The 15,885-nt window shown below is 40.3% G+C and overlaps 2 protein-coding genes and 1 pseudogene across 8 annotated transcripts in view, besides 1 other annotated feature; 1 reads left to right on the plus strand and 2 right to left on the minus strand.

Moving 5' to 3' along the window:
• Positions 1-1,945, minus strand: part of DHX57 (DExH-box helicase 57) — a 78,206-nt gene extending 76,261 nt beyond the window's left edge. For 5 of the 7 annotated variants that reach the window (NM_001329963.1, NM_198963.3, XM_011533156.4 and 2 more), the window contains exon 1: positions 1,798-1,945. The gene's annotated coding sequence lies outside the window, so the exon portion shown is untranslated. Of the gene's footprint in view, positions 1-1,555 lie in introns of all 7 variants that reach the window. The other 2 variants (XM_011533154.3, XM_011533155.3) reach the window with 2 other exon arrangements.
• Positions 1,154-2,138: an enhancer, noted in NCBI's record as "H3K27ac-H3K4me1 hESC enhancer chr2:39102285-39103268 (GRCh37/hg19 assembly coordinates)". NCBI's record gives its function as "activates a minimal SCP1, AML or CMV promoter by ChIP-STARR-seq in naive H9 embryonic stem cells {active_cell/tissue: H9 hESC(naive)}" and the evidence as "EXISTENCE:reporter gene assay evidence [ECO:0000049][PMID:30033119]".
• On the plus strand, positions 1,987-8,720 carry MORN2 (MORN repeat containing 2). Its single transcript, NM_001145450.3, has 5 exons — positions 1,987-2,121; positions 6,190-6,240; positions 6,611-6,717; positions 7,453-7,589; positions 8,424-8,720. The coding sequence occupies exons 1-5, from the start codon at positions 2,064-2,066 to the stop codon at positions 8,524-8,526; spliced, it is 456 nt and encodes a 151-aa protein (NP_001138922.2). The 5' UTR covers positions 1,987-2,063; the 3' UTR covers positions 8,527-8,720.
• RNU6-851P (RNA, U6 small nuclear 851, pseudogene) lies at positions 10,571-10,677 on the minus strand (annotated as a pseudogene).

Consider the following 15,885-nt stretch of genomic DNA (forward strand, 5'->3'; position numbering starts at 1 on the left):
GATACTCAAGTTCTCCAGTCAGCCCTGTAGAACCTGCATAGAGGAAAAGTTGGCCCTCTGTATGTGGGTTTTGCATTCCAGGAATACTGTCTTTTCTTTTTTCTTTCTTTCTTTTTTTTTGAGACTGGATCTTGCTCTATCACCCAGGCTGCAGTGCAGTGGTACGATCATAGCTTACTGCAGCCTCGATCTCCTAGGCTCAAGCAATCCTCCTGCCTCAGCCTCCTGAATAGCTGGGACCACAGGTGCACCACCACACCCAGCTACTTTAAACATTTTTTAGTAGAAATGAGGTTTCGCTTTGCTGCCCAAGCTGGTCTCGTACTCCTGAGCTCAAGCAATCGTCTCACCTTGGCCTCCCAAAGTGCTGAGATTACCGGCATGAGCCACTGTGCCTAGTTGAAATACTGTATTTTTTTTTTTTTTTTTTTTTTTTTTGAGACAGAGTCTCACTCTGTCGCCCAGGCTGGAGTGCACTGGCGCAGTCTCAGCTCACTGCAACCTCCACCTCCCGGGTTCACGCCATTCTCCTGCCTCAGCCTCCTGAGTAGCTGGGACTACAGGCACCCGCCACCATGCCCGGCTAATTTTTTGTATTTTTAGTAGAGACAGGGTTTCACCGTGTTAGCCAGGATGGTCTCGATCTCCTGACCTCGTGATCCGCCCGCCTCGGCCTCCCACAGTGCTGGGATTACAGGCGTGAGCCACCGCGCCCGACCTGAAATACTGTATTTTCAATCTGTGTTGGGTTGGGAAAAATCCACCTGTAAGTGGAGCCGGGTAGTTCATACCCATGTTGTTCAAACGTCAACTTTACTCACAAAAATGTAGAGTCATTAAAATCTTAACAGGCAAGAAAAATAACAGGTCAAACTGAATTCTGTAAGGTTGTGCACCAATAATTACCTATTATTTCTAAAATTTAGGGAAATGAAATAACAAATCAGTTAGATTAGAACTTCATCTCAAAAACCATGCAGCCCAGGTAAATTTGTGTACTGAGAAACATTAGGAAAAAGCAAGAGGATACTTACGCTGAATCAAAACAAGTTGTCTCACACCAACCCAGAAAATGTTACTTTTACAACTAGATCTGAGATATGCGCTTAACATTTTAAACGAAGATTTACTGACTGTAATGGTGTCCAATACCACTCTCCCAGAGTTTTCAAGGGAATAGGAATTAGGTTGTATAATCCACGTGGTTAGATTCCACTATCTATTCCATCTAGCCCGGGAAGACTCCAACTATCTTTCTTCACCATGGATACAGGGACCTAAGTTTGGCTGTAAGAGTATTCTTTGTTTGATAGCCAAGGCACTGAAAAGTGACTACACACTACTCTCCTCCCAGGCAGATCTCTGACTGATCACAATATATCCAGCTCCATCCAGATATCCAGATCTCGTATCCTTTTTCGAACTCACATCGTCCCCACCCTTCTCCCCAAAAAAGCCACACAGACGGAGTCAGAGAACGGAGCCTGATCCCTTCAATCAACCCCTTAGCCTGCTCCAAGACTGAATTTCACGCCCCGCCCCCCCCGGCCCCAACCTGCAGTTTGAGCGTGGACAACCTCAGCGGCAGAGCCCGCCTTGGTTCGGTATCAGGGCCTGGGATCCTGCTGGTCCAGATTCACCGGCCCCAGGCAGACTGGATGAAACACACTGGGCCGCGATGCTCGTCAGATCCCGACCACTCCTGGAGCAGGAGGCGGCAGACACACTGACAAACAGGGTGACGCGCACACCGTGCGCACAACGCGCATCACTTGTCCGCAGAAGTGGAAGACGTACCTGGCTCGCAGAGTTGGGTCCCGAGCCGGCTGTCGGGAGGTGCTGCCCAAGGGTCAGAGGTCCAAACTGGACTTGGCCACCCTCACGATTCTCACTTGGAGCAGCCCTGCGGTGGCCCAGCTGCAGCGGCACAGTCCCGGCGCCTTCTGATTGGCTCAGCTACAGCCCCTCGCGTATTCGCTTCCGGGTGAGAGGTGCCCGGTCGCCCCAGCAACCAAGTCGCACCTGGAGCTGTCCTAGCGCCTAGTTCTCTCCCGGCCGCAGAGCTGGCCGCCCAGGGGGAGTCGCAGAGTTTGGAAGATCTCTCTAACACCTCTCGGCCAAGTGAGTGTCCCTCCTCCTAACGACCCGGGCAGAGAAGAGCTCCTTTAAGTCGAACTAGCGTGGAGTCAGAACCTGCTTGGCTCCCGGTAACTCCTGTGGGGGTGTGATATATTTCCTGACCGTCTAGCCGAGGGGCACGGGGGAACCCCTGGTCTGGGAATCTAGCTCTGATTCTGTTGTTAATTCGCTGTTGAGACACCCGAGGCGCGTGCCAACCTCCCTGGGCCTCAGTTTCCGCTATGGTGCCGGGTGGTCTCTGTGAGGTTCCCTCTAGCTCTGACGTTCCCAAGTTTCGAATGTAGAACATTTTAGCGGCAATTGAAAACAGTCCAGTTTCTGATATGATTACGTTTAATGCTCTGCTTCATAGGCACTTAACGATTCCTTCCGAAGTGCCCTTCATTCACTAGACGTTCTGTTACTATTAGTACTAAACACGGAGTCGGACAGTGGGGTGAGAAGAGATTTGACTAATCTGCCATCCGTGTCCTGGAGGAACTGGGTGGGATAGGGGATCCCGATACAAAAGCATGGTTTTAATAGAACCTTAAGTACTACAGTAGGAATAGGCCCAGAGTGCCGTGGGGGTTCCTGAAGGAGTCTGAGGTTGACAAGTAATGAGAAGAAAGGCTTTGTGGGAGAGCTCATACCTGAGCTGGGGCTACAAGAATACAATAGCTAATATTTACAGAGTTTAGACACTGGGCTAAGTGCTTTAACTAGATTAGCTCATTTACTTGATTTGCCCCATCTAAGGATGAGGAAACTGAGGCATAAGATAATTATTTGTCCAAGGTCAGAGAAAATGGTGGAGTCTGGATGCAAAGGTAGGTAGTCCGATGCCAGAGCATGAACCCCTAACTACTACACTCTATTTTGCCAACTCTTGAGGATGAATAGCAGTTAACCAGGTAAAGAAGAGAAGGGTGTTCCACCCAGAGTACGGCATGGCATCTGTGGGAAACTACAAGCAGATCTGGTAATCTAGTTAGTTATCATTAGTTAAACACTTAGAAAGTAGCTCTGACGCCTGTAGTTCCAGCTACTTGGGAGGCTGAGGCAGGAGAATGGCGTGAACCCGGGAGGCGGAGGTTGCAGTGAGACGAGATCAAGCCACTGCACTCCAGCCTGGGCGACAGAGCGAGACTCCGTCTCAAAAATAAATAAATAAATAAATAAATTAAATTAAATTAAATTAAATTAAAAAATAAAAAAGAAAGAAAGTAGCTCTGTGTCCCTGCTCTCTTGGAATTTCACATCTTGCAGACATGTAAATAACTAATTAATGAGCACACATGGCAATTTCTGTATACCACCATACTTCACCCTTTATCCACAACCAAATCTTAGAAATTATGGGGAAAAAATAAGCAAACATAACTAAATTCAGATTTTTCTAAGATTTAGTGTTAATTAGTGTCTATATTTAACCCCTAAACGAGATCAGAATTCTAGCAAGATTGCTCTCTATCCTCCACACCATTTCCATATTGATATTACCTGAGTTTTAGTTACAGATTCTTTTTTTTTCTTTTTGAGTTTTTAATTTTGGTGTAGATGGAATCTCACTATGTTGCCCAGGCTGGTCTCAAACTCCTGGGCTCAAGCAGTCCTCCCACCTCACCCACCCAAAGCGTTGGGATTACAGGCATGAGCCACCAGATTCTATTTTTAAAACTTAATTTTTTTTATTTTATTATTTTTTTAAGACAGAGTCTTGCTGTCTCACCCAGGCTGGAGGGCAGGGTGTGATCGGACTCACTGCAGCCTTCACTTCCTGGGCTCAAGCGATCCTCCCACCTCAGCCCCCAAGTAGCATGGACAACAAGCATGCAACACCACACCCAGCTAATTCTTGTATTTTTTGTGGAGAATGGGTTTCACCATGTTGCCCAGGCTGGTCTCGAACTCCTAGGCTCAAGCAACCCACCCTCCTCAGCCTCCCGAAGTGCTGGGATTCCAGGCATGAGCCAGTAATTCATCCTACCAGCGTGCCTGCCAGTTTCCATGATTTTAGATTGATAGTTTCGTTGGATGTAGAATATTAGGTTGAAAATAATTTTGTCTCGGAATTTTAAAGACATAGTGCCATTTTTTTTTAGAATCCACTGTTGCTAATGTCAGTCCTTTGTAGTTTATTGTAGGTAATCTGGTTTTTGTTTGCTTGTTTTTAACTAGCCTAGCTGGCCTTTGGTCTTTATGTCATGAAATTGTACTGTAACCTGTCTAGGTGTGGGATTTTGCTTAGTTCCCATTTGTAGTCCAAGCAGTCATTTTCTTCAGTTCTGAGAAAAATTTGGCTATTTATTCAAATATCCCTTATTCTTTCCCTCTGGAATTCTTATTAGACTGACAGTAGCCTTTTGGATCCACTTTCCATCATTTTAAAATTCTTTGTGCTACTTTCTTTTTTTTTAATTAAAAAATTTTTTTTCCAGCCATCTCACTCACACTTTGTGCTACTTTCTAAGCACATTTTTCAACCTAATGTTCCAGTTCACTAATTTGTTTTCAATTGTATCTATTCTGCTTTTCATCCCTTCTAAGAAGTTTTATTTCACCAATTATATTATTCATTTCCTGGATTGCTAATTGTTTTTTGTTTTTTGTAATCACCTGTTCCTATTTCAAGGATACTAATACTCTCCCTTTCTCTCTGAGGATGTTACAGTTTAAGTCCTCTACCTATTGTGTTAACTCTGTTTCCTCAGTGATGAGCCTCCAAGCCTTTCTCAAGTGGTACCTAAATTAATTTTTAAATTCCCTTGCCCCACCCGTAAAGACTGATTCAGTAGATGTGGGGTAGAGAGAAGAAACTTAGAAGCATCTCAGGTGATTCTGAAGGATGGGCCTGCATACCGTCTCTACATAAGTTTTCTTCAGTATCGGAAAATACAGTTTCTAGTTTTAGTCCAGTAAGTGTCCAGGGATCTGAGGCCCAGAGTCCCCCTCAGTCTTGCGGTCCTCTTTCTTCCTTTTTCACTTGGTCTCCATTCCAGTCTCATTCTGTGTGGACCTACCAGCCCTTCCCCACTTGCTATCTTTATTTTCCATTTCTTCCTATTGCCAATTTAAAGATTCCTCACTCCACCTTACCTCTGTGGGACAATCAGTAAATCATATGGGCTACCAAAGAGAAATAAAAACATATCCACACAAAAATCTGTACACCAATTTTTTTTTTACTCCTAGGAAGCTGTATGTTTTGAAAATGTACATCAGTGTTTATAGCAGTATTATTCATAATGGCCTCAAACTGGAAACAACCTACATGTCCATGAACTGATGAATGAATAAACAAAATATGCTGTTTCTGTACAACATATTTATACAATATACTTGGCTATAAAAAGGAATGAAGTACTGATACACGATGCAACATGGATGAGCCTTGGAAACATTAAGTGAAACGAGCCAGACATAAAGGACCACATATTATATGATTTCATTTATAAGAAATGTCCAGAATAGGCAAATCCCTGAGGCAGAAAGTAGATTAGTGGTTGCCAGGGGTTTGGGGTTGTGGGGTGAGGGGTGTTTGAGGGGAATCATAATGGGTAACTGCTAATGTGTACAGAGTTTCTTTCTGGGATGATTAAAATATTCTAAAATTAGATTGTGATGATAGTTGCACAACTCTGAATATACTAAAAAAATCAAATTGTATTTTTTTAAAGGGTAGATTTTGTGGTGTGTGAATTATATATTAATAAAGCTATCATAATAAATAAATTTTAAAAGAGATCATCTAGGCAAAATTGTTTATTTCCCCGGGACCCTACATTAGACAATGGAAATACCAAGTAATCATGATATGATGTGATCTTGAGAAGTAAGTCCATTTGGATAGTGCTGAAAGCACATTGGGTATAGGTCTTATGACATAAGAATGTTTACACTTGGTTGGGTGTGGTGGCTCACATTTGCATCCCCAGCACTTTGGGAGGCTGAGGCGGGAGGATCGCTTGAGCCCAGGAGTTTGAGACTGGCCTGGGCAATGTAGTGAAACCTTGCCTCTATCGAAAAAAAAGTAAACTTATGTCACTGTTTTTAAATCTTTTAAAACAGCTTCAGAAGTGTATAAGATCAGCTTTATCTTTCCAAATGGAGACAAGTATGGTAAGTATACGCTTCAATTACTTTTTCTGTATAGAAAATTAAATAGCTTAGGAATAAAAAACTGAGACTGTTAAATTTTATAAAACTACTATTAGGATATTAACTTTATTAACTAAAATAACAGAAATCCTAATAGATAAAGAGCTTTTAAAATCAAAATTCCAATGCCTTGGAAACCTATGGGATCTGTCAATCTTCCTGGCCCTTGAGTCTCAATTGTTACAAGATGTTCTGTGTCCATGGATTTTCTCATCTCTGGTCTCACTGGTTTCAGTGCTAGGGAGCCAAAGAAACCCATGAGGTGTAGTTGCGATTAGGCCCAGACATAACTATTCTCATTTATAATCTTCAGTTTTTCTCCTCTGTTTAGATGGTGACTGTACAAGAACATCTTCTGGAATCTACGAGAGAAATGGAATAGGTATTCATACCACTCCTAATGGGATTGTCTACACAGGAAGCTGGAAAGATGACAAGGTATTATTGTTGTTTTTAATATTGGCAGTGGATAAATAACCCTGTAGGTTTAGTGATTCCAGGCATTTCACCATTAATCAAAAACTCCTATAATGAGTAGACTATATAATAAAAATAACAAATGATCATATTAACATATATTAACTTATGAGTAATATTAAACTCACTGTAGAAAGCTAATCATCGTTACTTTCTTTCTCATCTCCTATTCATTGAGTAAAGCTGAATCCGTTACATAATTTTCTCATTTAATCCTCATAATAACCTCATGAGATAGGTACCATTAATACTCTATTTTACAAATGAGGAAAATCAGGCTCAGGTTTCTTGCCCAGCTAGTAAATGATAAAACAGGAAAGTATACCCTGGTCTGCTCAAATCCAAATTTGAATTCTTAACAACTACTTTGTACTGGTTTCCTGAACTAACTAAACTGGTTGCCCTTTAAGATTTCTGATACATTCAGGGTATCTTGAGGACCCCTATTTATCTTCATCATGGACCCCCTGATGTTCAAATGTCCCAGATCCAGAACATTTAATTTACTGGGCTTCACAGATAGATACAGATGAAGGAAAATGATAAAAATGTTGTCTTTATACTATGGAAATAAAGGACAATACAAAGTTGGTTAAGTAATAATTAGCAGATGATAGACTTATATTTGTACATTTTTTAAAGGTTCTTGGGAAACTGAAGATTAGTTTCTAAGGTAATTTCCTTTGTTACAAACAGATGAATGGTTTTGGAAGACTTGAGCATTTTTCAGGAGCAGTATATGAAGGACAATTTAAGGATAATATGTTTCATGGACTGGGGACTTACACATTCCCAAATGGGGCAAAGTATACTGGAAATTTCAATGAAAATAGGTAAGCTTAAAATAAAAAAAAATCACTGCATTTCTAAAAGATTATTTTCTGGTATGTTTGCTTAAATACTTATTTATTTATTTATTTATTGAGACAGAGTCTCCCTCTGTCATCCAGGCAGGAGTGCAGTGGAGTGATCTCGGCTCACTGCAACCTCTGCCTCCCGGGTTCAAGCGATTCTCTTGCCTCAGCCACCCAAGTAGCTGGGTCCACAGATGTGCACTACCACACCCAGCTATTTTTTGTATTTTCAGTAGGGACGGGGTTTCACCGTGTTGAGCAGGCTGGTCTAGAACTCCTGACCTCAAGTGATCTGCCTGCCTCGGCCTCTCAGAGTGCTGAGATTACAGGCGTGAGCCACTGTGCCCAGCTGCTTAAATACTATATTTAGTTAATTCTAAATATTCTTTTATGATATAGTTTCTAAAAATTGTTGGAGGCCAGGTGCGGTGGCACAGCACCTCAAACATCATTGATAGTGAAAAAATATTTGTTGAATAAGTGAAGTAATTAAGCTAGATAACCGATATAAACTTTTCATTTTTTTAACTCATTGTTTTGGTTTTGTGTGAACCTAGATTATGTGATCCTAAAATCTTGGACACCAAATAATTGTTTGTTTTTGTTTGGAATAGTATGTGGTTTTTTTTTTTTTTTTTTTGGTTTGTTTGTTTTTTTGGTAGGATATGAAAGCAGGATGCTGGGTTTAAAAGCAAAGCTTGAAAGTAGAGGATATAATCTTCAGACATAGTATATATTATGCTAGAAAATCTTATATCTGGACTGTAAATTATTCATCTTTGTTAATGGAAAACTTATTTTCTACTATTGCAGGGTGGAAGGTGAAGGGGAATATACTGATATCCAAGGACTAGAATGGAGTGGTAACTTTCATTTTACAGCTGCTCCAGACCTGAAATTAAAGCTTCACATGTAGATGTGATGTTAAATTAAAGTTGAAATGTAGTAATTGAAGCTTTTAGTTGTAAGGAAAGCAACTTAATCTGTTATTTGAAATGACTTCATACACTACCCCTATAAGTTTGCCAATAAAACCATCACCTGCTTACACCTTTTTGAACTTTATATTCATTGTCTTACAATTAGTTTAAAATAAATGACATGATTCAATTCAGTCTGCTTATTATAATAACTATGGCAGAAGCATCCAAATCTTGGCAAAGTTGATTTCCAATCCTCTGTTTGAGTTTTGTCATTTTTTTTTTTTTTTTCTAGTTTGTGCTTGTGTGTCCTGGTCAACATCCGACCTCTTTAAAAAAAAAACAACTTTTTTTTTTAGGCTGTAATACATTTTATTCATTTCTTATTATTTTCTAACTTTTATTTTAGGTTCAGGCGTACATGTGCAGGTTTGTTATACAGGTAAACTCATGTCACAGTGTTTGTTATACAGATTATTTTGTCCCCTAGGTACTAAGCATAGTACCAATAGTTATTTTTTCTGATCCTCTCCCTCCTCCCAGCCACCATCCTCAGGTAGCCCCAGTGTCTGTTGTTCCTTTCTTTGTGTCCACAAGTTCTCATCATTTAGCTCCCACTTATAAGTGAGAACATTCGGTATTTGGTTTTCTGTTCCCGTTCTGTTAGTTTGCTAAGGATAATGAACACAATTTTAAGTGTACAATACATTATTGTTGACTATAGGTACAATGTTGTACAGCAGATCTCTAGAGCTTATTCATCTTGCTTGACTGAAACTTTATGGCCTTTTATTAGTTACCTCTTATTTTCCCATCACCCCAGCCCCTGGTAACCATATTCTACTCTTTGATTCTATGAATTTGACTATTTTATTTTTCTTATTTTTTATTTTTTTGAGATGGGGTTTCACTCTTTTTGCCCAGGCTGGAGTGCAACAGTGCAATCTTGGCTCACTGCAACCTCTGCCTCCCGGGTTCAAGCTATTCTCCTGCCTCAGCCTCCCGAGTAGCTGGGATTACAGGCACTTGCCACCATGCCCAGCTAATTTTTGTATTTTTAGTAGAGATGGGGTTTCACCATGTTTACCAGGCTGGTCTCGAACTTCTGATCCACCCGCCCTCGGCCTCCCAAAGTCCTGGGATTACAGGTGTGAGCCACCCCACCCGGCCACATTTGACTATTTTAAATACCTCATACTTAAAAGTGGAATCATATAGTACTGGTCTTTCTGTGACTGGCTTATTTAGAATAATGTCCTCAGGGTTCATCCATGTTGTCACAAATCACAGGATTTCTCTTTTAAGGCTGAGTAGTATTCCATTATATGTGTAAACCACATTTTCTTTATTCATTGTGGTGGACTGCTACTATATGAGTCAGCAATCCTACTTCTGGGTGTTTATCCAAAAGAATTGAAGCCGGGTGCAGTGGCTCATGCCTGTAATCCCAGTATTTTGGGAGGCCAGGCAGGCCAGGCGTTCAAGACCAGCCTGGCCAACATGGTGAAACCCCATCTCAACTGAAAATACCAAAAAATTAGCCAGGGGTGGTGGACGTTTAGTTTGTTTCCACATCTTGACTATTGTAAATAGTGCTGCAGTGAGCATAGGAGTACTAATATTTATTTGAGATCTTGATAGCAATTCTTTTTTTTTTTTTTTTTTTTTTTTTTTTGAGATAGAGGAGTCTCACTCTGTTGCCCGGGCTGGAGTGCAGTGGTGTGATCTCGGCTCACTGCAACCTCTGCTTTATGGGTTCAAGCAATTCTTGTGCCCTGGCTACCCAAGTAGCCAGGATTACAGGTGTGGTCCACCATCCCTGGCTAATTTTTTGGTATTTTCAGTAGAGACAGGGTTTCACCATATTGGCCAGGCTGGTCTTGAACTCCTGGCCTGCCTGGCCTCCCAAAATGCTGGGATTACAGGCATGAGCCACTGCACCCGGCTTCAGTTCTTTTGGATAAACACCCAGAAGTAGGATTGCTGACTCATATAGTAGTTTTTTGTTCTTGTTATTTATTTATTTATTATTATTATTATTTTAATGTGGACCACTTCACAAATCTGCATGTCATCTTTGCACAGGGGCCATGCTCATCTTCTCTGTATCATTCCAATTTTAGTGTGTGTTCTGCCAAAGCAAGTACAGTAGTTATATTTTTAATCTCTTGAGGAACTTCCATAGGATTTACCATAGCAGCTGCACCATTTTGCATTCCCAGCAACAGTGGGCAAGTGTATGGTAACCCAGTTCTTCCCACTTTCTTTCTGTGCCCTTACTGAAAATCACAGAGTACCTTGACTGCTCTGTGACCCAGCTGGCTATATGTTTTTCTCAGCAGGCTTGAACCCAAACTGGGCCTTGAACATTCCCAAGCACTGAGAAAGGTATTTCGGTTGTTGCTCAAAACACTGAAACTGGCCCCCAGCCCTGAGCCAAATTTCTCAAACTGTCATAGAAACTCCAGACTCTGATCCCCTTGCTGCAGACATACCTGGGTAGAACATTCCTTTTCTCTCTCAGCAATTGCTGCAGCCCTCTGTAAGGAAGTTTCCCTAATAAATTCTTTGGACTGATCACCCTAGAGCTTAGAGTTTTTTCTTTGGTATTCCAGCCAGCCCTATCTCAGGACAGTTGGAGACTCCCTTGTGGGAAGTCCCCCTGCCACTGCTTTTGGGGTGATTCCAGCCGAGGATTTGAGGGTTTAGAGAGACAAAACAGCAAGGGTTCAATTTCTCCACCTCCTTAGCATTTGTTTTTTGTTTTTGATGATAGCCATCCTGTCTGGTATAAGGTGGTATCTCATTGTGGTTTTCATTTCTATTTCTCTGATGATTAGTGACATCGAGCATTTTTCCAAATACCTATTGACCATTTATATGTCTTCTTTGAAAAAACGTCTGTTCAGTTCCTAATCCATTTTTAAATCAGGTTATTAATTTTTTTTACCATTGAGTTGTAAGAATTCCTCATATATTTTACAGATTAAATCCTGATCTGATATATGATTTGCAGATATTTTCATCCATTCTGTAGGTTGTTACCTTTTCACTCTGTTGATTGTTTCCTTTGCTGTGCAGAAGATTTTGGTTTGATGTGGTTCCACTTGTTTATTTTTTGTTTTGTTGCCTGTGCTTTTGGTGTCATTATCCATGAACTCATTGCCAAGATCAATGTCATGAAGATTTTCCCCTGTTTCCAACAACACATGGAAAGGGTCATATACCATGACCAAGTGAGATTTATCCCTGGGATGCAAGGATAGTTCAACATACGAAAATCAACTAATGTGATATTCTACATTAACAGAATAGAGGACTAAAATCACATAATCAGCTCAACAGATGCAGAAAAAGCATTTAACAAAATTGAGAACCTGTTCATTATTTAAAAAAAAACCTCTTAACAAATTAGGAACAGAAAGAAATTACCTAAACATAACAGAGGTCATATATAAAAAGCCCACAGCTAACATCATACTCAACAGTGAAAAACTGAAAAGCTTTTACTCTAAGACTGGGAACAAGGCAAGGATGCTAACTCTTGTCACTTCTATCTTTAAAAAAGTATACATTAAAGGAGACTATCAAGAAAATGGAAATACCATCCTCACAATGGGATAATATACTTGCAAATCATATCTGATTGTCAGAAATTTGCTTAATATAGTCACTGCCTCAGCATCCATTTTTAGGCCTGACATAAGTTGTCTGACATCCAGTCATATCCCATTACTCTTGGCCTAGTTAAAACTTTCCTTCCCCTTGTAGTTGTTTGCAATACAGCCCACTTGTTCCTTACCCTGCTGACCCAAAACCCAACACATCCCACAGGTGCTGACCATGATAAAACCTAAAGGTCAAAATAAGTCATGCAAAAATAAGTTCCCCCTTTCCACATGTTTTCTTTAAACTAGCCAATCCACAACCCCAGAGGGAAAGCCTAAGGGATAACATCCGTGGACCTTAATAAAGGTGTAGTCCTGTGGTCTTCTCTCTCACCCCCACCCCACTGGTTGAGCTCACTGCTACCTCCAGATTTCCAGAAACCATAGCAATAAAAATTATGACACTGATACAAAGTCTAGTTTCCAAAATGTATAAAGAACTTTTACAACCCAACAATTAAAAAAACCTTAATTTTTAAAATGGGCGGGGGGCAGTGGCTCACACCTGTAATCCCAGCACTTTGGGAGGCCGAGGCAGGCAGATCACCTGAGATCAGGAATTCAAGAGCAGCCTGGCCAACATGGTGAAACCCCATCTCTACTAAAAATACAAAAAATAGCTGGGCATGATGGCGGGCACCTGTAATCCCACCTGCTCAGGAGGCTGAGGCAGGAGAATCGCTTAAACATGGTAGGCGGAGGTTGCAGTGAGCCGAGATCGCGCCATTGCACTCCAGCCTGGGCAACAGAGCGAGACTCCCATCTCAAAAAAAAAAAAAAGGTCAAAGAATTTGAACAGATGTTTCTCTGAAGGAGATATACAAGTAGCCAATAAGTAAACAAAAAGATGCTTAACATCCTTACTCTTCAGGGAAATGAACCTTAAACCTACAAACCCACCGTGAGATACCACTTCACACCAACTGGGATAGCTATTATTATTATTATTATTTTATTTTAAGTTCTGGGGTACATGTGCAGGATGTGTAGGTTTATTACATAGGTAAATGTGTGCCATGGTGGTTTGCTGCACTTATTAACCCATAACCTAGGTATTAAGCCCAGCAAGCATTAGCTATTTTTCCTGATGCTCTCTCTTCCCCCACTTCCACAACATGTGTGTTGTTCTCCTCCTGTGTCCATGTGTTCTCATTGTTCAGCTCCCACTTATAAGTGAGAACATGCATTGTTTGGTGGGATGGCTATATCAAAAAAAAAAAACAGACAATACAAAGATTGGCAATGATGTGGGGAAATTGGAGGCCTCACACATTTCTGGTGGGAATATAAAATGGTGCAGCTGCTGTGGAATACATTTCCTCAAAATATTAGACATAGAGTTACTACGTGACTCAGCAGTTCCTAGGTATGTACGCAAGGGAATTGACTTGCACACGAATGTTCATAGCAACATTATTCATTGCTATAGTCTGAATGTGTCCTTCCAAAATTCATGTTTAAACCTAATTTCCTCACGACTGTAATCCCAATACTTTGGGAGGCCAAGGTGGGTGCATCATTTAAGGTCAGGAGTTTGAGACCAGCCTGGCCAACATGGTGAAACCTCCTCTCCACTAAAAATACAAAAATTAGCCAGGCGTGGTGGTGTGTGCCTGTAATCCCAGCTACTCGGGAGGCTGAGGCACAAGAATTGCTTGAAACTGGGAGGTGGAGTCTGCAGTGAGCCAAGATGGCGCCACTGCACTCCAGCAGGGGCAACAGAGTGAGACTCTGTCTAAAAACAACAACAACAACAACAAAAACCTAATCTCTACTGTGGTAGTATTAAGAGTTGAGGCCTTTAGGAGGTGATTAGGTTATAAGGACAGAGCCCTCATGGATGGGATTAGTGCCCTTATAAAAGAGATGTGAAGGAGATTGCTTGCTTCTTCTGTCACAAGAGAATGATGCAAGAAGGTGCCATCTTTGAAGAAGAGAGCAAGTCCTTACCAGACACTAAATCTGCTAGTGCCTTGATCTTGGACTTAACAGCCTCCAGAACTGTGAGCAATACATTTCTGTTGTTTAAAATTACCCTGTCTAAGGTATTTTCTTATAGCAGTTCAAATGGACTAAGACATGTATAATAGCCCCAACTGGAAACAATCCAAATGTCCATCAACTAATGAATGTGTAAACAAAATGTCCACATAATGGAATATTATTCAGCCATAAAAAATGAAGTACTGATACTACAACATGGATGAACTTCAGAAACATTGTACTGGCCAGGCAGGTGGCTCATCCTGTAATCCCAGCACTTTGGGATGCCAAGGTGTGTGGATCGCTTGCCAGGAGTTTGAGACCAGGCTGGGCAGCATGGCAAAATCCCATCTCTACAAAAAATACAAAAATTAGCCAGGTGTGGTGGCACATGCCTATAGTCCCAGCTACTTGGGAGGACTGCTTGAGCCCAGGAGGCAGAGGTTGCAGTGAACCAAGATCATGCCACTGCACTCCAGGATGGGTGACAGAGCAAAACTTCATCTCAAAAACAACAAACAAACAAACATTGTACTAAGTGAAAGGAACCAGTCACAAACGGCCACATATTATATGATTCCATTTATGTGAAATGCTCTGAATAGGCAAATCCTTAGGGACAGAAAATAGATTAGTGGTTGCCAGGGGAGGAAGAAATTGGGAGGCATGAGGTTTCTAGAATTAGACAGTGGTGATGGTTGCACAGTCTTGAAAATGTACTAAAAACCACTGAATTGTTCATTTAACAGGGACAAATTTTATGTATGATGTGTAAATTATGTCTCAATTTCTTAAAAAGTAGATCTGTGTGTTGTCATATATTCTATGTCCAGAAAACTTCTTTACTTTTTACATAAGATAATTTAAAAATTACCAGAGCAGTATATGTCAACTACATTTAAAAAATTACAATAAAGACCTGAATGTTTTTGCTGAAACTCTATATTCTAAAACTGACAAAAAATAGTGTACACAATAGATAACTTCTTTGTCATATTTCTCTATTCAAAATCTTGTGAATATTTGTATTTCTCAATATGTTATTGCCAAAAGATGTATATTTTTATTTTTTGCTGTACTGGCACAAATTTGGGTTACAATGTCTTCTAAAATGTTAAAATAAAAATGGCATTTTTGTTAGTTTCTCATAATAATAGCTTTATGGCTAATTTTGAAAGACCCTATTTGTAAGTTTTCAAAGACACATTTTAAGAATTGGACATTTTTGTATATGTTGCTAAACATTAGCTGGCATGGCTTTAGAATTAAATATTATTATTATATGGAAATTCATGAAGAGACAAATACTGGACAAGTTAAGATAAGGTGAGAAGATGTTTTCAGGGACCAGGACATATAATTTAAATTCAAAAACTTCTGGAAAATATAGAAAAGTATCTGCTTTGCTGCAAAATAAATTTTCCCTAATTTTTTTCAATTTATTTAAGGCAGCAAGATATATATTTTACTCTTAAAATATTTAACTTGTATTGCTATGTTAATAACTTTTCAAAGTACAACTTTTCAATTTTCTAGTATACCAAAGATATTCCTCCTAAATGGGTTTCTTCCTTTTTACTCATTGAAACTAAATGCAGTTCAGTTATTTGATTAGTTGATGCTAGAATTTGACCTGGAGCTTATATAATTAGAAGAGACACTAGTTTTCCTCATTTAAAAGCCTGGTTAGCATACTACGGTCTC

The sequence above is a fragment of the Homo sapiens genome, chromosome 2 (assembly GCF_000001405.40).
Source record: "Homo sapiens chromosome 2, GRCh38.p14 Primary Assembly".
NCBI classification, from domain to species: domain Eukaryota; kingdom Metazoa; phylum Chordata; class Mammalia; order Primates; family Hominidae; genus Homo; species Homo sapiens.